The 24,013-nt window shown below is 51.1% G+C and overlaps 1 protein-coding gene and 1 long non-coding RNA gene across 12 annotated transcripts in view, besides 6 other annotated features; one reads left to right on the top strand and one right to left on the bottom strand.

Moving 5' to 3' along the window:
• Positions 1–17,781, bottom strand: part of RALB (RAS like proto-oncogene B) — a 54,641-nt gene extending 36,860 nt beyond the window's left edge. For 7 of the 11 annotated variants that reach the window (XM_047445358.1, XM_047445361.1, XM_047445363.1 and 4 more), the window contains exon 1: positions 4,871–4,999. Coding sequence is in view for 2 of the 11 variants with exons in the window: in XM_047445359.1 (XP_047301315.1) it covers positions 17,726–17,744 (19 nt within the window). In the remaining 9 variants the exon portion in view is untranslated. Of the gene's footprint in view, positions 1–4,119; positions 4,794–4,870; positions 5,000–17,725 lie in introns of those variants that run through there. The other 4 variants (XM_047445364.1, XM_005263728.2, XM_047445359.1 and 1 more) reach the window with 3 other exon arrangements.
• Positions 3,947–4,216: an enhancer, noted in NCBI's record as "active region_16459". NCBI's record gives its function as "activates an Ori minimal core promoter by ATAC-STARR-seq in GM12878 lymphoblastoid cells {active_cell/tissue: GM12878}" and the evidence as "EXISTENCE:reporter gene assay evidence [ECO:0000049][PMID:35858748]".
• Positions 4,717–5,306: a silencer, noted in NCBI's record as "silent region_11918". NCBI's record gives its function as "represses an Ori minimal core promoter by ATAC-STARR-seq in GM12878 lymphoblastoid cells {active_cell/tissue: GM12878}" and the evidence as "EXISTENCE:reporter gene assay evidence [ECO:0000049][PMID:35858748]".
• Positions 11,210–11,786: an enhancer, noted in NCBI's record as "H3K4me1 hESC enhancer chr2:121003641-121004217 (GRCh37/hg19 assembly coordinates)". NCBI's record gives its function as "activates a minimal SCP1, AML or CMV promoter by ChIP-STARR-seq in primed H9 embryonic stem cells {active_cell/tissue: H9 hESC(primed)}" and the evidence as "EXISTENCE:reporter gene assay evidence [ECO:0000049][PMID:30033119]".
• LOC105373583 (uncharacterized) lies at positions 11,742–22,655 on the top strand. Its single transcript, XR_923259.3, has 3 exons — positions 11,742–11,868; positions 19,487–19,559; positions 20,100–22,655. It is a non-coding gene; the product is annotated as an uncharacterized LOC105373583 (long non-coding RNA).
• Positions 11,787–12,362: an enhancer, noted in NCBI's record as "H3K4me1 hESC enhancer chr2:121003065-121003640 (GRCh37/hg19 assembly coordinates)". NCBI's record gives its function as "activates a minimal SCP1, AML or CMV promoter by ChIP-STARR-seq in naive and primed H9 embryonic stem cells {active_cell/tissue: H9 hESC(naive and primed)}" and the evidence as "EXISTENCE:reporter gene assay evidence [ECO:0000049][PMID:30033119]".
• Positions 13,927–14,877: an enhancer, noted in NCBI's record as "H3K4me1 hESC enhancer chr2:121000550-121001500 (GRCh37/hg19 assembly coordinates)". NCBI's record gives its function as "activates a minimal SCP1, AML or CMV promoter by ChIP-STARR-seq in primed H9 embryonic stem cells {active_cell/tissue: H9 hESC(primed)}" and the evidence as "EXISTENCE:reporter gene assay evidence [ECO:0000049][PMID:30033119]".
• Positions 18,749–19,948: an enhancer, noted in NCBI's record as "CDK7 strongly-dependent group 2 enhancer chr2:120995479-120996678 (GRCh37/hg19 assembly coordinates)". NCBI's record gives its function as "activates an origin of replication core promoter dependent on BRD2, BRD4, P300/CBP, MED14 and CDK7 cofactors, with strong dependence on CDK7, by STARR-seq in HCT116 cells {active_cell/tissue: HCT116}" and the evidence as "EXISTENCE:reporter gene assay evidence [ECO:0000049][PMID:35650434]".
• Positions 22,656–24,013: the final 1,358 nt, after the last annotated feature.

Raw genomic sequence — 24,013 nt, 5'->3', positions numbered from 1 at the left:
AGCATCAGCTATCAGCAGTAAAGGACTGGCCACCAATCCTTCCTGTGGGAGGAAGGAGGGGGATTACAAGGAAAGTAGAATGAAAGAAAAGAAAGATACTAGCTCATAAATTAGGGCAGAGGATGGGCAAGGGGCCAAAAATAGGAAGCAGAGGAAGTGCAAATAGTGCTGACTTTTCAACTCTGCCTAACAGTGACTCTAACAACCTTCAACTGGATTGGGAAGAACAAAAGCTATTCTCAGAAAAGCTTGTCTTCTGAGGTTGCAATTTAACATGATCAATGAAATATTTTGTTATAAATATGCACAACTCAAAGGATATTCGTTATAAAAAAAAAATAAGGATCATAGAATTTTCAGAGATGGAAGGGACTTAGAGGTCATTTAGCCAGGCTCAGGCTCAGGATCCAGAAACTCTTCTCTCCACCTATAGGCACTTCAGGAAGATTTCATCTGGAGCTAAAAGAATAGCGCCCTTCTATCCAGGTCAATAATTAAAATGTATGAGGGTCTCAAAAGTGAACTGAAGAACTGCTAGGCAAACAAGCAGTATCCAAAGTTTTAAAATAATGGGGAGGAGTAAGAGGGTTTAGGTTCCCCAAAATTTTTCAGCTACTTTGCCAATGAGTTTTATTTTTAAGAACACACAGATAATGAATGACTAATTTTAAGCCATTCATCAAAGGAGATTACTTTGGCAATATTTTTTTACCAACTTGTTTTGGGGTTAAAGAAAAAAATTCAGATGTTCCTTTTGGTTTAGGGACCAGCAAGATCTGAATTTCTATTTCCAAAGCTACTGCATACTTGGCTAATTCCAGCATCTAACAAAGAACCGGAAGAAAGAACATAAAAGTTTCACATATAGTATTAAAGCTTCTACAATACTAAAGACCTCAGCTGTCTTTCCATCTCCTACAGTATACTTCAGTAAACATCTGAAAGAAAGATTTTCTCAATGATGTCTGGACTAAACCTTAAAAAAGTTGTGGTGGCTAGCCTCCAAGAATACTGATGTGCCCTGACCTCCCCTCTTGTAGTCCTTTCCCACATTGTGCCAGGTCTGGTCTGAATGCTGGTAGAAGGGATGGTATGCCATCTCCAAGATTAGACACTGGATTAGTCTGTTCTCATGCTGCTATGAAGAAATATCCGAGACTGGGTAATTTATAAAGGAAAGGGGTTTAATTGACTCACAGTTCCGCAGGGCTGGGGAGGCCTCAGGAAACTTACAATCATGGCAGAAGGAACCACTTCACAGGGCAGCAGGAGAGAGAATGAGTGCCAGCAGGGGAAATGCCAGACGCTTGTAAAACCATCAGATCACGTGAGAACTCACTATCAGGAGAACAGTATGGGAGAAACTGCCCTCATGATTCAATTACCTCCCACCGAGTCCCTCCCACAACGTATGGGGATTATGGGGATTACAATTCAAGGTGAGATTTGGGTAGGGACACAGCCAAACCATATCAGCCACGAATATACTGCTGCTTCCATCTTGATCATTATCATATTCATTCTCTCCCTCTCTCCCCACCCCCGTCAGATCACTTGCTCTGGGGAGAAAAGCTATGTTGTGAAAAGCCCTGTGCATAGGCCCACATGGTGTAGAACTGAGGCCTCCAGCCAACAGCCATGTGAACGTGCCATTTTGGAAACAGATCCTCTGGTCCCAGTCGAGCTTCAGATGACTGCAACCTCAGGAGAGACCATGAGCCAGAAGCACCCAGCCAAGCTGTCCCCAGATTTCAACTTCAGAAACTGTGTGAGATCATAAATGTCTGTTGTTTTAAGCTGCTAAGTTTGGGGAAATTTGTTATGCAGCAACAGAAAACTCATTCAAAAGGTAGGCAAACTTTACAGGCAGCCAGGCACGCAGGACCAAACTACTATATTTCCTTCATCTCATGCCGTATAGCTTGGAACAATGCTATATATAAAAAATGCCCACAAAGCACTGACAAAAGCAACAATGAAAACAATATATTGGTAATTATCAATTAATGGCATTTTTCTTTTCTGCATTTAGATTTCAACTAAAAAACAACTAGCCACCATCACCAAAAACAAAAACAGCCAGGAGAACACTAAGGAAAATTATAAGCAGCTACTTTTTTTAAAGTGACAAACTTGAAATTGAGACCTGGCTAGAATTTTGCAATTGCTTCTAGTAAGCACATATACCGTCCCTCTTTGACACTCACTTCCACATCCTCTTCATCTTTCTTTCCACTGTCACCTATCCAAGACTCATCAACCCTCTTGCCTACTGGCCCCTCTGCTTTTTGGAATATCTAAGAATATATGTACACATACACCAATATTTATATTCCTAGGTACCAAAAGAACTGAGGAGCTAAAGGAGACAGCCCATGGTCAAATCTCCAAGGCCACATATTTAACTGGTATGGCTTGGATCAGTGGTCTGTGCCAAGCAGACAGCTGATGCTCAGTAACTGTTAGTTTTTCTCCTCCTTAACTACTCCGCCATGTGATGAAGGAAGAGTTCCTTTTCCTCTGTGCTCGGCTCTCTTTGCGATAACATTCAGAACATACATTCATTTAAAAAAACAAAACGAAAAAAAAACCAAGCGTCTTGCATGTCTAGAGCAGGGGCTGTTTAGCAGTAACTGGAGCCAAGGAAAAGTGGGACTCCTGTATACCATCTGGAGACAAGTTACACTGGAAAACTACAGAGTTCACCTAGATCTCTTCGCACTCTAGTCTTACATTGTCTCCAAATTTAGCTTTCAAGAAAGGTCTCTAATGATGTTTCTAACTTCCATAAGTTACATGAGGGGGGTAAGAATTTAGCAACTAAATGCAAAGAGGCATAGTAGGATTACGTGATTTGGAAGAAAGAATTATCCCTGCCAGACGGGGTGGCTCACACCTGTGATCCCCAGCACTTTGAGAGGCCAAGGTGGTAGGATGGCTTGAGCCCAGCAGTTCGAGACCAGCCTGGGCAACATGGTGAAACCCCATCTCTACAAAAAATACAAAAATTAGCTTGGCATGGTGGTGCAAGACTGTACCAAGCTACTCGGGAGGCTGAGGTGGGAGACTCACCTGAGCCTGGGAGGTGGGGGCTGCAGTGAGCGGTGATCACACCACTCCACTCCAGCCTGGGAAATAGCGCAAGACTCTGCCCCCAAAAACAAACAAAAAAAGGATTATCTCAATTCTCAGGCTTAAAATTTTTCATGGAATCTCAAGCCATCTTCAGTCAAGGCAAGAATTTAGAACTTTTCTACCCTCATCTTCTACCAAAATCTCTTCATATGCCGTGGAAGACTCTAAATCCTGTTTATCCTTATGGTCTAGGTCCCAAGTTCCCAAAAGATATCTAATAACTTACACTATTTTCCACACACAATCCTGGGAAAATGTTCTATTCCTCGGGCAGAGGGAAATCTGGCTGAGATCTCCGATAAGAGTGCTGTTTCCAATGGGAAGCAATGTGAATGGGCAAGGAAGGAAAGCCCCAGATGTGGTCAGAATAAAGCAGACCGGCTGACAACTAAAGCCACGCACAAAGGATATGTCTCCCTGGCCTTCTTCTCCCCCGCTCCTATTTCGTTTAATCCTAACAATTAGGATAACTATCATCACCCTTCTACAGTTGCTGACTCTGGAGCTCAGAGGGGGAAAGATCGTGCTCCACATCACAACACCGGTAAACTCTCAGAACCTGCATCAAACCCAGGTCTTCAAACTCACCCCTCCTGTTTTTCCCAATATGCAGTGCTACCTTTCATGGTCGGCCCATTTCTGGGAACTTCGATACTGTGCTTCTATTGCTCCAGGTTTAAGGAGCATTCTGAGCCTTGACCGGTTCTGAGCTTTGACATCCAACAATCTTATGGCTCTGCTTGGAACATCAGTCATTGACACCTCTAAAAGATTCACTATCCCCTCTGATACTCCATGCCCACCATCCATCCCCAAAACTTCAGAAGAAATGAGGTTAGGAAACCAGGACAGAGCAGAAAGTGCACTGTTCTACAAGGGCTGAAGATGAGTCACAGGTAACCCAGATGAGCAATCAGCCAAGTCTCTTCCACGGCCAATTCATTCAGTCCGCCAGGCACAAGCACTTCTCTCCCGAAGACTCACCTGATAAGAACACCAAAGTTCCAACGTTTCTCGTTGGAAATGAGCACAGAGAGGACACTGCTCACACAAGCAGTGTGGACGCAGCAAGCTCCGCGCCCCGCAACCCTGCACCGAGCACGGTTAACCTCACACTCCCACAGGCGGCAAGAACCGGGACGGCGATGCCCAGTCCAGGCGCTTCCCCTTAGAAGCCCCTTCGCCGCTGGCCCCTATCAGAAAGGAAAGGGGAGGAGGCTGGGGGAGAAACAACTTTATGCTCATTTGCAAGACAGGACCAAAACAAAACCAGCAAACCGAAGCCCTTTAGGAACACCGCCCAGTTCACGGCGCGTGCAAGTTCCGAGGGCAGTTAAGTTTTTGCAACACTTCCCAGCCCTGACCCTGCCCAAGCCGCGGCCGGAGGACTGAGGAAGTGGACGGTCCCGAGCGGGAGGCCCGCGGCAGGAAGTGGAAGCAGAGCCATCTGCGGGATAGGGAAGGAACCGCGGCTACAAGGGAGAGGCGGAGGCCGCCCCCACTTCCTCAGCCCCAGGCAGCCCAGGAAGCCGAGACTCCCCCAGGGAGTCCTCCCGGAGCGGAGCGGGGCCGCTGCCGGGGCGTCGCCCTCCGCCGGCCTCGGGGCGCGACATGTCCTGCCGCCGCCCGGCCACAGCCCGGCACGGAGGGAGCAAGAGGCTGCGGGCGTGCGGCGTACCCCACTCCCCAGCCCGCGCCCCACCCCGCCCGGGGCCCGCGGGCGCCGCGCCCTTACCAGGGACCAGTCCCGCCGCCTCCGCCGTCCGCACCCGGCCCGCAGCTCTTAAACGCGCCCCGCCCCCTCCCGGGGCCGGACCCCAGCCGTCCTCCACCGATTTGTCATTGAGCTGCCGGGCTCGCTTTCCCACCCCCCGAGCGCGCCTCCGGCGTCGCCTAGGCAACCCCTCCTCTCGAGAGCGCGCCCTCGCTTCCGTTCTTGCCCTCTCCTCGGAAGCCACGCCCGTCGGGGGGCTGTCAGCCAATCCGAGGCTGATTTTCCAAGCAGCGGGCGGCCGGGGAGGAGGTTTCACCAATGAGAAGCTGCCCCAGGCACGGGGGGGCGGGCCCAGCGCGCCTGCCCCGTCCCCCTCTGTTTCTCTCTCTGCCCCTCGGACACGCAGCTGGTAACCCTGCGGCAGTGGAGGAGCTGCCCGCCGGTATTGAGGGCGGGTGCGGGTGCACAAGGTGGGGCGCCAGTTGTGGGATTCAGGCCAGGGCTAGGACGAAGTAATGGAAAGCAAAAGCGAAGGACAGACCTGATCATACAGAAACAGAAGAAAATTACGAGGTGGCGAAGAGTGCTGGAGCGCGGCGATGGGGATGCCGCCCGGGGGTCTTGGGGCGGGACTCCACCTGCCGCCACCACTCGCTTCGCTGATGACATCCCATTAGCAGTAATGGAGTTAGTGAGTGCATGGCGGAGACTGGACCCAGGCCGCCTACAAGGGCCAGAATCCCACCCCAGCCATAGCCTCGAGGCAGGAAGTGCAGTGGGCAAGCTCCCTGCCAAAGCCCAGGAACGTGTGATTTTGTATCCAGTACAGCTTCATCTCGGTGGATTTTCCTTCCTAACCACCTCCTCCTCCACAGGTTTTGTGACCGTGCTGACCCCTACGCAGACCTCATGAGAGTCACAAGCCATCGCAACTGACAGTTTAAACGTCTGCCTCTTATCTCTAAGGGAGGGAACTATCTCTTATGCAATGTGATATCCATGGCTGCTAGCACAGTGTAATTAATTCTTTCATTGTTGATCATTGTAAGTTAGGATGCATGTGTATACTATATTGGAGGCTTTGGGCCATGATTAGATTGCTATGTATCTACCAGATCCAGTCCCTCCATCAGCATCTATATCAAAAAGCACAGAAGCTTTACCTTAGTCTTAAGTGACCAACTTAACAAAAAAGTGCAATCAGAAGAATATCCTAGTGTTAGCCTACTAAGTATTCTGTTTTTACCATTCTCATTCACATTTAAAACTTTTATTGAGTGCTAATCGTATGACAGACACTTTGCTAGGTACAGTAAGGAGATGGGGTAGGAGGCTTCTCAAAGAGGAAGCTCCCTAGTATTTATAACCTAGAAGAGGAATCAGACCCAAACCTTTTCTTACGGAGTAACAGTTAAGTGCACAGGTTTGGAGTCTGGAAGCATAGGATTAAAGGAGGGCTCTACCTTGTGACTAGCAGTTACTTAATTAGGAAACTACTTCTGTGGGCTTTAGTTTCACCAGCTGCCCAATAGCAGCACCTCCATGCTATAGGTAAGAAGATGTACATGCAAGTCCACATAGAGCTCTCAGTACAGTGCTAGGAACTTGGTGAGTGCCTCAGGAATGTGAGCTTACATTAGTGATTGCCACCAGAGGCCACGATGTACAGTCAAGTGTGTGATCACCAATCTGGTACAGCCTTATCTCCCAAAGCCCATCTGTATCAAGTGTGACCGCGTGCAGCCTGGTGGAAAGGGCCTGCTGTGGTGGTACCCTTTGTCAAATGCAAGTATAGAGAGGAGAGCAGCTGCAGCAGCCTACCCAAGTGAAAAGGGTATGATAGTTGAGGGAACAGGGTCAGAAATCAGGCCACAGGCCAGGATTCTACTGTTCCCACCTGCCCCCCATCCCCTAGGACCCACAGCAGATGCAGGAGGTTTCCCCACCTTTTCTGGGGTGCTGAAGTGCCATTCCTTTGCATTGGTAACAGGATGCACAGGGCTTTCTGAGAAATGCTGCTTTCATTCTCTGCCTGCCTAGAACTCGGAGGGGTCCTACTGGGACTCCTCCAGCAGGATCATCTATTCAGATCCTGGACATGCCAGACCCTGAGCTGTGCAGTATATTCAGAGAGGAGTGGCAGGACCCTTTTGGCGGGGCTGTCTCACACAGGACACCAATAGGGGAAACGTGTCCCAACGGGAGAAGGGAACCAAGAGGCCACCAGCCTCAGCTGCCTCTAAGGTGGCTCATTCCAGGTCTCAGGGGACCTCTTGTCTGCTGAGTTTCCCTACCAGAACTCTGACTCCCAGCAGAGCCAGGGGCTTGAGCAGCAGAAATACAAGATCCCCAGCAGGACTCCTTAAGGATGCTGTAAACGACTGCTGCCATGGAAAGAGCATTCTAGACACTCCATCCTTCTAAAGTATTTATTGATTACTGTGGGAGTCTTTAGTGCTGTCTGACAAACATTTCTACTCCTCTCTTGTGAGCACTGGAAACTTCCTAGCCCTGTAGTTGGGTGGAGCCATGTGACTAGCTCTAACCGATCACTTGTGAGCAGAAATGACACATAATCATTTCTAGGCTGGAGAAATTAATTGCCAATATAAGACCCTCCAGAGCTCTCTTGTCCTTGGTATGGCTACTGAGAATGTTAGGAAATGTGACTGCTCCATCAGCCAGGGTTTCTACAATGAGCACAGGCCCCCTACCAACCTGTGATGGACATTTAGAATGACTGAGAAATAAGCCCTTATGGTTTGAAGACACTACGATGTGGGAGTTGTTTGTTACTGCACATAGCTTAGCCTGCTCTGACGGATGCAAGGTGAACAACTCACACAAAAGGACAGAGAAGAGGCCAGTAAACAGACAAGCACCCCAAAAATTACAAATTATGTCATTACAAATTATTTTAGACTGGGTGGTCAAAAAAGATCTCTCTTGGGAAGTGACATTTAAGCTAGGACCTCAAGGATGAGAAAAATCAATCTTAGCAAAAGATGGGGGTAGGAGGAAGGACAGGAGAGTATTTCAGGCAGAGGCATAAGCCTGTGCAAAGTCCTGAGGCAGAAGAAAGCTTGGTACTGCTGAGAATGGCCAGGAGGCCTGGAATGGTGAGCAGGGGAAAGTGAGTCACACAGGGCTGGAAGGGGAGGCAAGAGCCAGATGATGCAGGGGCTTCTCGGTTATACAGAGGAGTTTGAAATTTACTCCTAGTGCGGTAGAAACTGCTGAAGAGGTTTGATATGGTTTGGATGTGTGTCCCCTCCAAATCTCATGTTGAAATGTAATCCCCACTGTTGGAGGCGGGGCCTGGTGGGGGGCTGTTTTGATCATAGGGACAGATCCCTCATGAATGGCTTAGTGCTACTCCTTGGCAATGAGTGAGTTCTTGCTCTGAGTTCACACAAGGTCTGGTTGTTTAAGAGTGCGTGGCACCTCCCCGCCTATTCTTATCCCCGCTCTCAGTATGAGATGCACCTGCTCCCACTATGCCTTCCGCCATGACTGGAAGCTTCCTGAAGCCTCCCCAGGAACAGATGCCAGTGCTATGCCTCCTGTACAGCCTACAGAAACATGAGCTAATTAATAATTAAGCCTCTTTTCTTTATCAATTACCCAGTCTCAGGTATTTCTTTATAGCAACACAAAATGGACTAACACGGACGGGCGCGGTGGCTCACGCCTGTAATTCCAGCACTTTAGGAGGTGAAGGTGGGTGGATCATGAGGTCAGGAGTTTGAGACCAGCCTGGCCAACATGGTGAAACCCCATCTCTACTAAAAATACAAAAAAATTAGCCAGGCGTGGTGGCAGATGCCTGTAATCCCAGCTACTCGGGAGGCTGAGAAGAGAGTTGCTTGAACCCAGGAGGCAGAAGTTGCAGTGAGCCAAGATCATGCCACTGCACTCCAGCCTGGGCAACAGAGCAAGACTCCGTCTTAAAAAAAAAAAAAAAAAAGACTAACACAAGGTTCAAACAGGAGGCTGACATGCTTTGATTTTGGTTTTAAAAAGATTACTCTGGGTCAGGCATGGTAACTCATGCCTATAATCCCAGCACTTTGAGAGGCCAAGGAGGGTGAATCTCCTGGGGTCAGGAGTTCAAGAACAGCCTGGGCAACATGGCGAGACCCCATTTCTATAAAAAATAAAAAAATTAGCCAGACAGTGGTGCACACCTCTGGTGCCAGCTACCAGGGAGGCTGAGGTAGGAGATTGAGTGAGTCCAGGAGGCGGAGGCTGAGCCCAGGAGGCAGAGGTTGCAATGAGCTGAGATCGTGCCACTGCACCCTAGCCTGGACGACACAGCAAGAAGCTGTCAGAAAAAAGAAAAAACATTACTCTGGCTGTGGTGGGGAGATTGGGCTGTGAGGGTTGGATGTGGAACCGAGGTTAGGATGCTGTTCCGGGGGTCCACGCACAGTGGGGTCCTAGACAGGGTAATCAGCTCTCAGATCAGAGATTTGGAGAGATTGCAGGAGGAAGGGAGCAAGAGAGCTGAAGAGAGCTGAAGACCAAACAGAACAGTCTTCCTGCCAAACCCCAGAGGAACCAGAGGCAAGGTTTGAAGTTTAGATCCCTAGAGGTGCTTTGACACCAGGGACATGGGTACTCAAAAGCCAGGAAGGAAATGGGGGAGGGTATGGATTTCCCAGAACATCAGCCAGCAGTGGAGACTTGCTTCCATGAGCTGGCAGGAGTGTATTCATAGACCGTATTATTAGAAAGAGGCCCGGCAAGCTTCTGTGGGCATCCCTGGGGGCATTTGATCTTTGGTAACCGCATCAATTAGAAAAGAAAAAAGGCTGCCAATCTACAGATGGGGGAACAGCCATTCTCACCTGCTGATGATTCTGGACAGACACTATTCCAAGCAGCCACAGCAAGAGGAGCTTGCCCTCGGCCCTTCTCTCAGCTTTCCCCTCTGCGTTTCACCACCCCTCACTGCCCAGAGGTTCTCGCCTCACTTCCTGCTGTCTGGTCCTGTTCTCAGGCATGGGTTGCACAGGCTCATTCCCGTGCAGGAATAAATGGCTAGTTACAGCTCCATTCCCATTCCGTCCTGGGCACTTGATGAAAACCTGAAGTTCCAGGCTGTGGGAGGTCTTTAGAGGAGGACCTAAGATCTTTAATTCACATCACTAGGATGGAGGGATCTACCCCTCATCCAAAAAAAGCTCAGACTCCTGAGTTCTCATGCAAAGCACCAGGTAAGGGCAATGCGTCGCGGGAACCCTCGTGGAGCGCCTAAGCAGTAGCCCTGAGCCTTCCTTTCCTTGCAGCCTTTTGCAGGCAGCTACCAAAAAAAGCTCTTGCCCTTTACTGATTCCCAAACATATTCAAACGCTTGACTCTGTTTCTCAGTTTAGTCATTGTCACTAAACTGTGGTAAGTCATTGCCACTAAACTGTGGTAAGTCAGGACTTTACGAGGGACTTTAAAAACCACTTTTCCCTAAGTGTGGTATTGAGGGCTTCTCTTTCCCCATCACCATCTCTCAAGGTGGTCCCTACAGCCCAGCCAGCCAGCAGGCACTCACCAGATGTTCCTGGGAATTGCTCTCTTAGAAAGTCAGAGGCCCAAGTCATTTGCTAAAGGAGAAGCTTTCATCTTCCAACAGGAACAAAGCTACTTGGGAAACACATTAGGAAAAAAACCCATGCATCTCAATTTCAATTTTAAATTATTTAATTAGCTGGACTTATCTTTCTGCTGTCATAGTTTACAAAGAGTTATCTCCCAGAAGTGAAGTCAAGTCTGTCTTGTAACTGAGACATACGCCTTCCTCACTATTGCTCATCCCCACTGCATGTCCTCTCGTGTCCTCCCCCTTCCCTCTTCCCGCAGACGCATGCTCTGGGCTTCCCACAACCTGCACGGGAACAACAGCTGCAGATCTGGTACCGACCTCCAGGTAACCAGATAAAAGCCGCCACGGGGTGACAGCTGCGAAGTACTCCATTGCGAGATAAAATGAGATTCAAGTGTCTAGATTCCGCGCTGAGCTCTTTCCAAAGTGAAATATGATTTGCAGCCTACCAGGAAGCCAACCTCATCCAAGGGCATGACAGGACCCTGCTCAGCCCCTCCCTCCCTCCCCAGCTAAGCTGTCCTCTTGACAGCATCACAAGGGCTTCCTTGGATGCTGCCTCCACACCAGACGCAGCGGGGACTGCACTCAGCCACAGGCTCTCCCTCACAGTCCCCGTGACCTCTGCTGCCCTTTAAACGGCAGAGCACCTGAAGGTCCAGTCACAGACACCTGCCCTTCCCTGGGGAACCACAGCCACACTGCAGCCCACCTATCCTACATGCTGACCGCACCCAGGCGGATCCAGGTCCTTGGCCCAGGGGTGCTCCTGATCTGCAGATGCACATGACGCTAGCAGCCAGCTAGCTCTGGATGGCTGGACAGACAGACAAAGAGGACATGAAGACCCGAGTTAGGAAGGGGGAGGAGGAAGGAAAGGATGTTGGTGGTGGGCTTGGCACTGTTAGACGTTCGGCTGTGCTCTCCTGGCCCCTCACAGCAATTCTCACTTCATAGAGGAGACCCCCGGTCTCAGAGAGTCAAGAGGTCACAGAGGCCTCAGGGCCCTTTAGTCACTGCTTACTGTTGGAGGCTGATTCTAGGATGGGGGCAGGGATGGGGTGCACTTCAAAGGGCAAGTGGATGCCCCTCTGTCTCCCAAGCCCATCCCCCTTCCTCCTCCAGCCCTCAGGAGGGGCAGTGCCATGGGCCACCCCAGGACTGGGACTGGCCCCTCACCAAAGCACCATGCAGCCTCTGTCACTCTGTCCCACCCACAAATGCCAAACCCCGCCCTGGTGAATTTTTATGAGCAGCATTTTTTAAACTGTGGATTTTTTTATAGACAGCCCCATTCCTTCCCCGCATCTGCTAGAGAGCAGGGCAAGGCCAAAGGGTCAGAGGCTCGAGGAATGCGGGGTGGTGTCGGGGGGTAAAAGGACATACCTGAGAAGGCCCCAGACCCTCGCTCCACCAGGAGGTAAGACCACCAAACCATTAAAATGCGCATCTCTGGGGTGGGGATCAAAGGGCGATTCCCTATTTTCTATCGGGTTTTAATTTTTTACCATGGCTAAGAAGAACTCTGGCAGACAGGAACGAAAATAAAGCAGCAATGACATTGGGGTGGGCTCCACAGTGGGAAGGCAGCATCTCTGGCAGGTCCCCACCAAGGCCTGGTCCCCACTGGGAAAGCTCCAGAGGCAGGGGCTCAGGGCTCCCTCCCCTCCACACCCTGCCCCGGGGGAGGGGCCTCCTTGCACAACCCGTGCAGGCAGTAAATCCAGCCTTGGCACTCAGGCCATAAATCACAGAAAGCTCTCCAGGCAGCTGTACACACCCCGGAGCAAGGCCTCCTGGTTCCTGCAGGGCGCCAGGAAGGCCAACTAGCAGGAGGTCCGATTCCTGCTGTCTGCTGCTGGGGCCCACTGCTCCCTGCCTTGACCCCAGACAGGTAGAAGAGGCCCAGGGCTCGGCAGGCCCTGAGGGGCTTGTTTAGGGCAGGTGTGGCCATGAGGACTCTCTCAAGTGACATTGCAGAGCACTCCTCCCCTCCCCTCAGCAGTTCAGGATCTCACAGCCTGAGAGGGAGCTGTGACGTCCTCTTTACAGGTGAGGCCTATCAGGTTGAGAGTTCAATGTCTTTCCAAAATCACGCAGCTGGTGAGAGGCAGACCAAGCCTGAAAGCAAGAATGCCTGACAACCATATCCGTGCTCCCTGTCCCAGTCCACCACCTTCCCACCCATGCTGCAAAGCTGTGTGACCTCTAACAGGTTACCTCCACTCTCTGGACCTTTGTGTTCTCATCTATAAAGTGACAGTCAGTCAACGAGCCCATGCTGAGCCTCTGCTATCTGCAGGAGCTGTGCCAGGCACCAGCAGCCAGATAAGCGTGGCTCGAAGGTCCCACGGCTCTCCCTCTTCCTGAGTGGGCACTCGGCACCAGGGCTGACGAAAGAGACAGAGAACACTGGGGGAAGCATCTCACACACCTTTGGCAGAACCAGCTCAGCTCCCTGACTTTTGGGACTCCTGGCCTCCCAGCGCTCCTGCTCCCACTGTATCACAGCCTGAAGCTACTTCCAGGAACTTTCCTAGAGTGGCTGGTGTCTAAAGGTTGCCTCTGGACAATCTCTCCCCAGATCACCTGATGCCTGAGCATGGGAAATTGGGTCCTCTGGCTAACCAGAGGTCATATCTGTGAATTCTTTTCATCCCTCCTAGCAGCTGGGGTGTTATACATCAAAGTGGCTGCCACAGCATCTGGCCCACAGTAGGTCTTAACAAGTATCTGTCCATGGACGGATGGACAGATAAATGGATGGATGGATGGATGGATGGATGAGGGAATGGCTAGAAGGGTGATTAGGAGACTCAAGGATGAAGGGGTGCTATTCAGGAGGCCTTGGTGACACAGGCAGGAGATGGGGGAGGCCCATGCAGAGCTCAGCTTACTGACCCCAGCTTACTGACAGTGCCAGTCTCCCGCTGAGGCTCTGCGAGACACACAGCACACTGGCAGGAACAGAGGCTGTGAGCCATCACAGCAGGTAATGATGAGCCCCTGCTACCTGCCTGGTCAGCTCCCACTGAGCTGAGCGGCAGCTCCAACCAAGGCTGCCTCATGTGTCTCGGCAGAGCCGGGACGGGCTGGGCCTGAGCCTGGGCCTGGGCCTGGATGTCCAATGATATGGTTTGGCTCTGTGTCCCCACCCAAATCTCATGTGGAATTGCAATCTCCATATTGGGGTTGAGATCTGGTAGGAGGTGATTGAATCATGGGTGCAGATTTCCCCCTTGCTGTTCTCATGATAGTGAGTTTTCACGAGATCTGGTTGTTTGCAAGTGTGTTGCTCTTCCCCCTTTTCTCTCTGTCTCCTGTTGCCATGTGAAGATGTGCCTGCTTCCCCTTCACTTCCTGCCATGATTGTAAGTTTCCCAAGGCCTCCCCAGCCATAGTTCCTGTACAGCCTGTGGAACTGCGAGTCAATTAAACCTCTTTTCTTCATAAATTACCCAGTCTCGGGTAGTTCTTTATAGTAGTGTGAGAACAGACTAATACAGCCAATGTCTGTGGCAGGCCCTGGAACACCCAGAGCATCATCCACTGCCCCTTCTCTAATGGACACAGCCCTAAGACTAGACTTGCCACATGAAATACCGATGCAATACAGGGGCCATACTTATATGAAGAATGATGCATTTTTATATCTGAAATTCAAATTTAACTGGGCATGTTGTATTTTTATTTGCAAAATCTGACAACCCTACCCAAGCCCAGGAATCTCCAGGTGGGCAAATCTCAGGGGCCCACACCCACCAACAGCATCAAATCCCCCAGCTGCTGAGAGAGGAGGCCAGAGTGGCAGGCCCAAGACACAGCTCTCAGGCAGAAGGACTCCCTCCCCAGGTGTGAAAAGATCCCCCAGTGAGGACAGCTGGGGACTCCAATGAGACAGTGTGTGGCAGCTCTCCTGCACCAGGAGGATGGAGGGAGGTGCTCCCCAGGCCCTGCTCCTCCCCATGGCTCCAGTGGCATGTGCCCTTCTCCTGAGGAATCCCACACAGCCTGTTCCCACCCAGCAGAGTCCTGGTAAGGGCTGGGGCGAGAGTGGTGGCCCAGCCATAGCCTCTGGACTTCTCCCACTTCCTCCTCTAAGAAGCCTTCTTGATGACTCAGGCCTCCCTGATCTGTCCACGCATTTTCACGACCAATTACATGGCCCTTGTCCTCTTCTCTTGTTTTGAGTGCATGAGGGGCCCCAGCTGAAATCAGAAGCCCTGGCAGACGGAGTGCCAATGCTACAGCCCAGCACAATGCACCAAATCAGTGCTCACCTGAGACATAAAGACCAGTGAAAGCCTTGGGCGAGAAAAGGCATGCCTCTGAGCCTTGGTTTCTGCATCAGAACGAAGGGAGCTCTCTCTCACAGAGGTTGATGGAAAGATTACATAATACAATGCCAAGGGCACCATGCCAATTTGGCCCCTGGAAGCCAGTTAGTCCGCGTCCATTTTGTTTATTTTTTTATTTACTTTTTAAAAAAACAGAGATGGTGGTCTTGCTGTGTTGCCCAGGCTAGTCTCGAACTCATGGCCTCAAGTGATCCTCCCACCTCGGCCTCCCAAAGTGCTGGGATTATAGGCATGAGCTACTACACCAGGCCACTTTATTTTTTGTTTTGTTTTAATTTTAAAATTATTATTATTATTACTATTTTTTGAGATGCAGTCTTGCTCTGTCGCCCAGGCTGGAGTGCAGTGGTGCGATCTCAGCTCACGGCAAGCTCTGCCTCCCTGGTTCACGCCATTCTCCCAACTCAGCCTCCCAAGTTGCTGGGACAACAGGCGCCTGCCACCACGCCCGGCTAATTTTGTTTTTGTATTTTTAGTAGAGACGGGGTTTCACCATGTTAACCAGGATGGTCTCGATCTCCTGACCTCGTGATCAACCCGCCTCAGCCTCCCAAAGTGATTATAGGCATCAGCCCCCAAAGGGATTATAGGCGTGAGCCACTGCGCCTGGCCTAAAATTATTTTTAATTGTGGTAAAATATATATGATATAAAAGTCACCATCTTAGCTGTTAAGTGTATAGTTCAGTGGTATGAAGTAAATTCCCAGTGTCGTGCAGCCATCATCACCATCCATCCCTAGAAGTCTAAACACTACACCCATTGAACACTCACTGCCCTTCCCTCCTCTGCCCCCAGCCCCTGGCAACCACCAATCTACTTTCTGTCTCTGTGAATTTGACGACTCCAGGTACCAGGTTTCAGTGGAATCATACAGTATTTGTCTTTTCATGACTGGCTTATTCCACTTAGCATAATGTCCTCAAGGTTCACCTGTGTTATGGCCTGTCCTTCCTTCCTTGTTGAAGCTGAGGGATCATTCCATCACGTGTGCCACACTCTGTTTATCCACTCACCTGCCCATGGACACTGGGGTTGCTTCCACCTCTGGCCTATCGTGAGAATGTTGCTGTGAATGTGGGTGTGCAAATATATCTGAGACTCTGCTTTCAATTCTGTCGGGTATACACTCAGAAGTGGAACTGCCAGATCTTATGTTAATTCTGCTTCATTTTTTGAGGAACCATCATATTGTTTTCCATAGCAACTGCACCATTACGCATTCCCACCCGCAGTGCACAAAGGTTCCAATTTCTCCATGTCCTCCAACACTTGCTCTTCTCTGTTTTTTTGTTTTGTTTTGTTTTTTTGTTTTTTTTGAGATGGAGTTTCGCTCTTGTTGCCCAGGCTGGAGTACAATGGCACGATCTCAGCTCACTGCAACCTCCACTTCCTGGGTTCAAGTGATTCTCCTGCCTCAGCCTGCCAAGTAGCTGGGATTACAGGTGCACACCACCATGCCCAGATAATTTTTATATTTTTAGTAGCAGCGGGGTTTTGCCATGTTGGCCAGGCTGGTCTCGAACTCCTGACCTCAGGTGATCCGCCCACCTTGGCCACCCAAAGTGCTGGGATTACAGGCATGAGCCACCATGCCTGGCCCTCTCTGCTCTTTTAATAGCAGCCATCCTGAGGGTGTGAGGAGGCTGTTTCCTTCCTCTTTGGACCCACACACCTTCGAGCCCCGCTCATAGCAGGCACTCCATGGATCTTCACCCTGTGAACTAGATTCTCTCCTGAGCTTTCTGGCTCCTAGGAGGCAAACAGGCTGTTTCTCTCCCTGCAGGGGACCTTGGGCCTTGTGGCTCTTGGGGATTATTTACAGCCAGGGCCACCTCTGTTCTCCCCTTGGGCAGGCTCGAGGATGAGCCCTTCTGGGAGAGTGGGAGGCAGGGGCCCAGACACATGGTGCATGATTTTCGCCACTGGGCAGTCTCAGCCTTGTGGCTTTCTGCTGGTGCATCCAAGTTAACCCGTCCGTCAGCTCCCACAGGACTAAGGACAAACGCACACCCCGTGACAGTGGATCTGGGGTCCTTGTGACTGCTGCCTCCTTTCCAGCTGTAGGCACCGACTTTGCTTCTGTTCCCAGTTCCTAGCAGTAGGCCTCCGGTCCCCCAAAACCCAGCTCTCTCTGTCTACCCAAAGGCTGAGTATGTGGCAGCCTGAAATCCCACCAGATGCTGTCTCCCCAAGTCCCCACACACTCACCCAGGTGCCCAGAAGCCAACCTCACACTGACTCAGCAGCACATGCAGGAGAAGGCATGAGAGGAAAGACACCCAGGAGGTCATGGAAACAGTAAGCTCTGATGGAGGGAAGGCCTGGCATGATCTAGAATAAGACTGGGGATAGCAGGCCTGTGTAGGCCTGCCATTCTTCCCATCCAGGGGGAAGCTTTAACATCACTTTGGCACCACACAGACCTGGGTTCAAATAGCAGCTCCTGCCAGGTGCGGTGGCTCACACCTGTGATCCCAGCACTTTGGGAGGCCAAGGCAGGCGGATCCTTGAGCCCAGGAGTTCGAGACCAGCCTGAGCAACATGGTGAAACCCTGTCTCTACAAAATACAAAATACAAAAAAGAAAAAAAAATAGCCAGATGTGGTGGCATGCACCTGTAGTCCCAGCTACTCAAGAGACTGAGGTGGGAGGACCACTTGAATCTGGGAGGTGGAGGTTGCAGTGAACCAAGATCACGCCACTGCACTCCAGCCTGGGTGACAGAGGGAGACCCTGTCTCAAAAAAAAATAAAAATAAAAATAAAAAAGTAGCAGCTCCATGAGTACATGCTGTGTGACCCCAGGCAAGTCTGTTTACCTCTCTGAGCTTCCTTTGGCAAATGAGGATAACAACAGGCAAGTCACAAGGTCACTGTGGGGCTTCGAAGTGCAATCCACACCGAGGGCGGGCACCCACCTGACTGCCGCTGTTTCATGCAGAGACCTCCTCCTGCCACCCGCTCTCCCGCTGCTGAAATCCCACACAGAGACCCGGGGTTGGAGGAAAAAAACATGAGATGAAAGGATAACGGCCTTCCTTTTTCCGACAGGAGGCAGCTTGTTCTTAAGGGAAAAAACAGCCCCCTCTGCAGCACCACCTCCACTCCATCCTCTCTTTGTGTTTGAGCTTCTGGGGAAACAACAGGTCCCACGGTAGTTTCCTTCCAGGATCCCCCCTCCCTCCAGAAATTCCCCAATGACTGCCAAGCTCAGTGGTAAGAAAAATGAGCAATTTCCAGACAGAGGCCAGCACATTTCAGAGGCATGGAGTGGAGGCCACGCCCCTCCTGACGGCCCCATCCCCCGCGAACAGTCGTAGGTCACCTGGGCCCACACTCCTAGTCGCGCTTACCTCTCGGAATGCACGGAGGAGGACAGAGTGAGACTCTGGCAGAGGGCTTGCTGAGGGGAGGGCTGAGAGAGTCATCTCCCCCAACCCTTGTCGCTCTGCCCCTGCCCCACATCCTGGGCAATTATACTACTGTGGTGGGGTAGAGGCATCCAAGGCGGAGGCAGGTACTGTGCACCTGCGATACACCTGAGACTTGGAGACAGTGACCCTGGCGTTCAATAAGCATTCATTTAACGGTTCCCCAGGCATGGTGCTGGGGATCAGGGCACAACAGGGACCAACACAGACCCTCACGGGGCGCCAGGAGGAGCGGGGGCATCCAGAGGAACACGTGGAGCACGTGGCTGCCTTTGCCACACTCCTCCTCCCTGCCCTCCTCCCCAGCCCGGCATGGCTGGTGTTCAAAGCCCCTGTGTGCTCTGCTCACTTGAAACCGACTCAGCTGAGGGGCTGTGCAAATGGCGGAGACTGAACAGAGGAGCGAAGTCCCTGAGGGAGAAACCACCCCAGAAAAGACAAGCCAGGTGTCAGGGTGGGGAGCTTGGTTACCACAGTGGGTGCAAGGAGATGGGGACTGAGCAGGGCCGTGGATGCTGGCGGCCCTCAGCCATCATCCTCCCTGCCCAGGCAAGTTGAATGGCAGCCCCAAACAGCAAACTCTCATTTTCCACCTTTTATTCCAGGAAGGGCACTGTGAGGCTGCAGCGGGGAGCGGGGAGCGGGCAGGGGACCTTGGACCAGGACCTCTGACTAAGCCTGAGTCAGGGCTGCCTTCCACTGGTCCCCACCCACCCTTGCAGGCCACTGAGCCGCCTCTCCTGGCTCAGCCTCTCCCACTTGTTGCCTCCGCCCTCAACTCCTTCAGTGACTTCCTCACCTCTTCATAAAGTCCAGGCTCTCGTCTTCTCTCCGGCTGCCCCCGACAGTGCCCCGCACCCAGCCCCTCCCACCACCTGTCTCCCATCTTCCCAGCCTGTCCTCCTCCTGCCCCACTGCCTCACCGTACTCCTGCTCCTCGGGTGCTCCTGATGGCCTCTAACTGTCCTTCAAACCCAGCCCAGTAGCAGGTCTTCTCAAAGGCTTCCTGCCATCCCTTCCCTTCCCTGGGTAGGTATGGAACCCCTCACCCAGGCCTCCTCCACCCCAGCCCTGCTCCCTCCTGAGAAGCCAGGGGTGCACCTCACATCTGTATTTTTGTGCCTGGCGTAAAGCAGGAAAGGAATGAGGATTTCACTGAGAACCTACTGCGTGCTGGCCACTGTTATGAAGGTCATCACAGGGAATGTTCACAACAAACCATGACATGGTATTGTCTCATTTTTACAGGTAAGGAAACTGAAGCCTCAGGCGAAGAGATGATTTCAAAGAACTTCAGAGCTAAGAGTCTTCTTCGACTAAAGTAGGCCCCCATGTTTCCTGGGAGAGGTGGAGCTTGAGGCTTGAGTGGGCTTAAAAAACAATGAGGATTCTGACAAACACAAAAGAGGGAGAGAAAGAGAGAGAATTAGAGCATTCCAGGCAGCAGGGGACTGAGATAAAGGAAGGCCAGGAGGCAGGAAAGACTAGGAAGTGACTGGCAAGACTAGGCGGTTTAGTAGAGAATCCAAGGTATATGCTTACACAAATTACTGGGCAAGGTGACTCACACCTGTAATCCCAGCACTTTGGGAGGCCAAGGTGGGAGGACTGCTTGAGCCCAGGAGTTTGCGACCAGTTTGGAAAACATGAGGAGACCCCATCTCTATTTAAAAAAAGGAAAGGAAAGGAGAGGAGAGGGGAGGGGAAGGGAGGGGAGGGGAGGGGAGGGGCAGCAGAAAGCCTGGAATGGCAGGAGGAACACCAAGCCTGCCACAGACATGGGGCGTTTCTGAGAAGGCTAGGCAGTGTTCCAGTGGGGGAAAGCCCTTGTGGACGACTTCCCTGTCAAAACCCTTCCCAGGAACTTGAAGGGCCAGTTCCAGAGACCCTGTGACCTCAGGCTCCAGAGATGGCTCCGTAAGGCAAACTCACCATGACCACTGGTCAATGACTCACTTCTCCTCCCAGGCGCCCTCCCAGGGATGAGCGCTCCTTCACTCTGCCTCCCTCAGCCCTTGCTCCGGTCTCTCTGCAGCTGGGGTCAGTGTTCCCAGTGAAGTCAGCGTGTGGAGCACACATGCCTCGTACCCACATTCATGCCCATGTGTGCGTGTGCACACGCATGTGGGGCCTGTGTGTCTCTTTCTCTGAGACCCACTCAAGATCTGCATGCACCTCGGGCCCCCTCCCAGAGTGCTGCAGCCAGATGCACCTGGAGCCCCACCCGTCAGCCCAGGGAGACATGCCCCTGCTGAATTCAGAGAATGATCCAGAAGGATTCAGGAAATGAGGACCATTCATGAACCCAGCGACTGATGAAGAGCACCTTCCTCACATCCGCTGCCAAACTCACCCGAAAAGAAGAGACAGAGGAAGACCCCAGAGGATTGCAATTTGAGGACACCTCCAACTCATGCTCACTGCACTTGGTCCAAAATGATCAGAGGGGAGATTTGGCTCATGCTCTGGCCTCACTGGCTCCCATCACCATTGCCTCTGCCCCTCCAGCCTCTGCCAGGCGCCTGGCTCTGACCCTTGCTGACACTTCAGGCCCCTCACCCTTAGAACTGACTGCCAAAGGGCTAGTTGCTTAGTCTTCAAGTAAAGGGGGTCTGGAGGACTATGGAGGAGGCATAGTGCCTAGAGAGCCCCTCGCCTCAAGACACCCCCACTGCACTTGGGAGGAAAGGCAGGGCTGGGGGATGGAGGCACTGTGGGGGCCTTTCCTATTTGGCAGCAGCTGCAGCCATGCGCACCATAGCCACAGCACGCAGCACACATCTTCTGTCTCACAGTGATTGAAGATTTTGCCAAACCACCGGTCAGACAGATTTCCCCCCAAGCCCCACATTAATTGATTTTTGGATTCTGCAACCCAAGCTCAAGCTCAAGCTCCGAGCTCACTGCTGAGCTCAGACTCCTGGGTGTCCCACAACGGCTTCGATGTGGAGGCCATGACGCTGAAGCCAAAGTTGTCAGACACCTGGGCTGCACTTGCCTGTGCAACGAGCCTGGGAAAGCAGCTCTGGGGATTGCACCCACAGTGCCAGGGCTCGGGAGCCTCTGAGCTCAGGGAGGCCTTCAGGGACAGGCGCTCGGCCAGCTGCCTGGGTAGGCTACTAATGAGCAGATGTGTTCCAGGCTGTCTGCCCAAGGGGCAGCTGCACCTGGGCTGGAGAGCTGAGACTCTCTGGGGTTCTGCAGCCTCTGTCCTCCTCAGCCTGGCCCGACAGCCCCTCGTTCTGATACAGGAGGGCACAGCTGCCTGACGCCCCTCCTTCCCCATCTCTGCCTCTCTAATCTTCCTTGAGGAAGATTCCATCAGAGGTTTTACTTACATATTCCTACACCATGCCTGGAACATAGTAGGTACTCAATAAATCCAACTTTTCCTGAGTTAGTGGTGAGGAAAAGCTGGACTCAGGATCAGGCTGCCTGTGAAGCCTGGCCTGTAGCCTGCCAGCTCTCCCAGCCTCAGGGTCCTCACACCCACACGTGTGTGCAGTAACAGAGCACTTCTTGCCTGCAACAGTGCCTGGTTCCCAGTGTATGCCACTGGGATCCGTATTATTATTAAGTGATCCGTATTATTATTTTATCTTAAGAGAGGAATCCAGCTGTGTCCAAATGAGGGGTTGGGACAAAATAAAAGCTAGAATCCAGTCTTGCAGGTGGGGACATGGCACCTGGGTCTCCACACTGACCCGTGCTGCCCACCCTCTCACATGCTATCTAGAGACGGCACTCCTTGTGGAATGCTGCAGGAGGTGCTCCACTGGCACGAAGTGGGTGGGCTCTTAGCACAGACCCAAACAGTAAGTGACTTTTCACACTCCCATCGCATCTCCAAAGCTACATGCAAAACACTGATCTTCACAGGGGTTAGAACACAACTTCCAGAAGGCCTCTTTCTTTTTTTTTTTTTTCTCCCTTTTTTTTTTTTATTATTATACTTTAAGTTCTGAGATACATGTGCAGAACATGCAGGTTTGTTACATAGGTATACAAGAGCCATGGTGGTTTGCTGCACCCATCAACCCGTCATCTACATTACGTATTTCTCCTAATGCTATCCCTCCCCTAACCCCCAACCCCCTGGCAGGCCCCAGTGTGTGATGTTCCCCTCCCTGTGTTCATGTGCTCTCACTGTTCAACTCCCACTTATGAGGGAGAACAAGCAGTGTTTGGTTTTCTGTTCCTGTGTTAGTTTGCTGAGAATGATGGTTTCCAGCTTCATCCATGTCCCTGCAAAGGACATGAAGTCATCCTTTTTGATGGCTGTATAGTATTCCATGGTGTATATGTGCCATGTTTTCTTTATCCAGTCTATCATTGATGGGCATTTGGGTTGGTTCCAAGTCTTTGTTATTGTGAACAGTGCTGCAATAAACATACGTGTGCATGCGTCTTTATAGTAGAATAATTGATAATCCTTTTGTTATATACCCAGTAATGGCATTGTTGGGTCAAATGGTATTTCTTGTTCTAGATCCTTGAGGAATCGCCACACTGTCTTTCACAATGGTTGAACTGGTTTACACTCCCACCAACAGTGTAAAAGCATGCCTATTTTTCCACATCCTCTCCAGCATCTGTTGTTGCCTGACTTTTTAATGATCACCATTCTAACTAGCATGAGATGGTATCTCATTATGGTTTTGATTTGCATTTCTCTAATGACCATTTCTCTAATGATGAGCTTTTTTTCATATGTTTGTTGGCTGCAAAAATGTCTTCTTTTGAGAAGTGTCCATTCATATCTTTTGCCCATTTTTTGAGTGGGGTTGCTTTTTTCTTATAAACTTGTTAAAGTTCCTTATAGATTCTGGATATTAGCCCTTTGTCAGATGGATAGATTGCAAAAATTTTCTCCCATTCTGTAGGTTGTCTGTTCACTCTGATGATAGTTTCTTTTGCTGTGCAGAAGCTCTTTAGTTTAATTAGATCCCATTTGTCAATTTTGGCTTTTGTGGCCATTGCTTTTGGTGTTTTAGTCATGAAGTCTTTGCCCATGCCTATGTCCTGAATGGTATTGCCTAGGGCCTCTTTTTAATCCAAGAAAGAAAGGGGGCAGATAAGATGGCGAAGCATTGCCAGGGTTAACGGGGAGTCTGCAGACCAATGGGTAAAGATCAAAGAGAGCCTGACTGCTGTAACAGCACCCCTCTCTAAACAGGAGGGCACCCCACCCCGGGCATCAGCAATCCTGCACACGGCCATTCCCAGAGCAGCCTGCCTCCACCGCAGCACAGAGATGGGTCAGAATGAACGTCCACCCATGTCAGTGCTCTATCAAATGTCTGCTTAGAAGTTCTTTTTAGGCCAGGCGCGGTGGCTCACGCCTGTAATCCCAGCACTTTGGGAGGCCGAGGTGGGCGGATCATGAGGTCAGGAGATCGAGACCATCCTGGCTAACACAGTGAAACCCCGTCTCTACTAAAAATACAAAAACAAAATTAGCCGGGCGTGGTGGCATGCACCTGTAGTCCCAGCTACTCGGGAGGCTGAGGCAGGAGAATGGCGTGAACCCAGGAGGTGGAGCGTGCAGTGAGCTGAGACTGCACCACTGCACTCCAGCCTGGGCGACAGAGCGAGACTCCAACTCAAAAAAAAAAAAAGGTCCTTTTTAAATAATTATTTTCTAAATATTCTGGTCTGTTCAAGCTGCCATAACAAAGTATCACACACTGGTAGCTTAAACAGCAAACATTTATTCATCAACAGTTCTGGAGGCTGGAAGTCCTCTTAAGATAAAATAATAATACGGATCAGTCA

The sequence above is a fragment of the Homo sapiens genome, chromosome 2 (genome assembly GCF_000001405.40).
Source record: "Homo sapiens chromosome 2, GRCh38.p14 Primary Assembly".
NCBI classification, from domain to species: Eukaryota; Metazoa; Chordata; class Mammalia; order Primates; family Hominidae; genus Homo; species Homo sapiens.
This window is presented reverse-complemented; position numbering and strand designations above follow the sequence as displayed.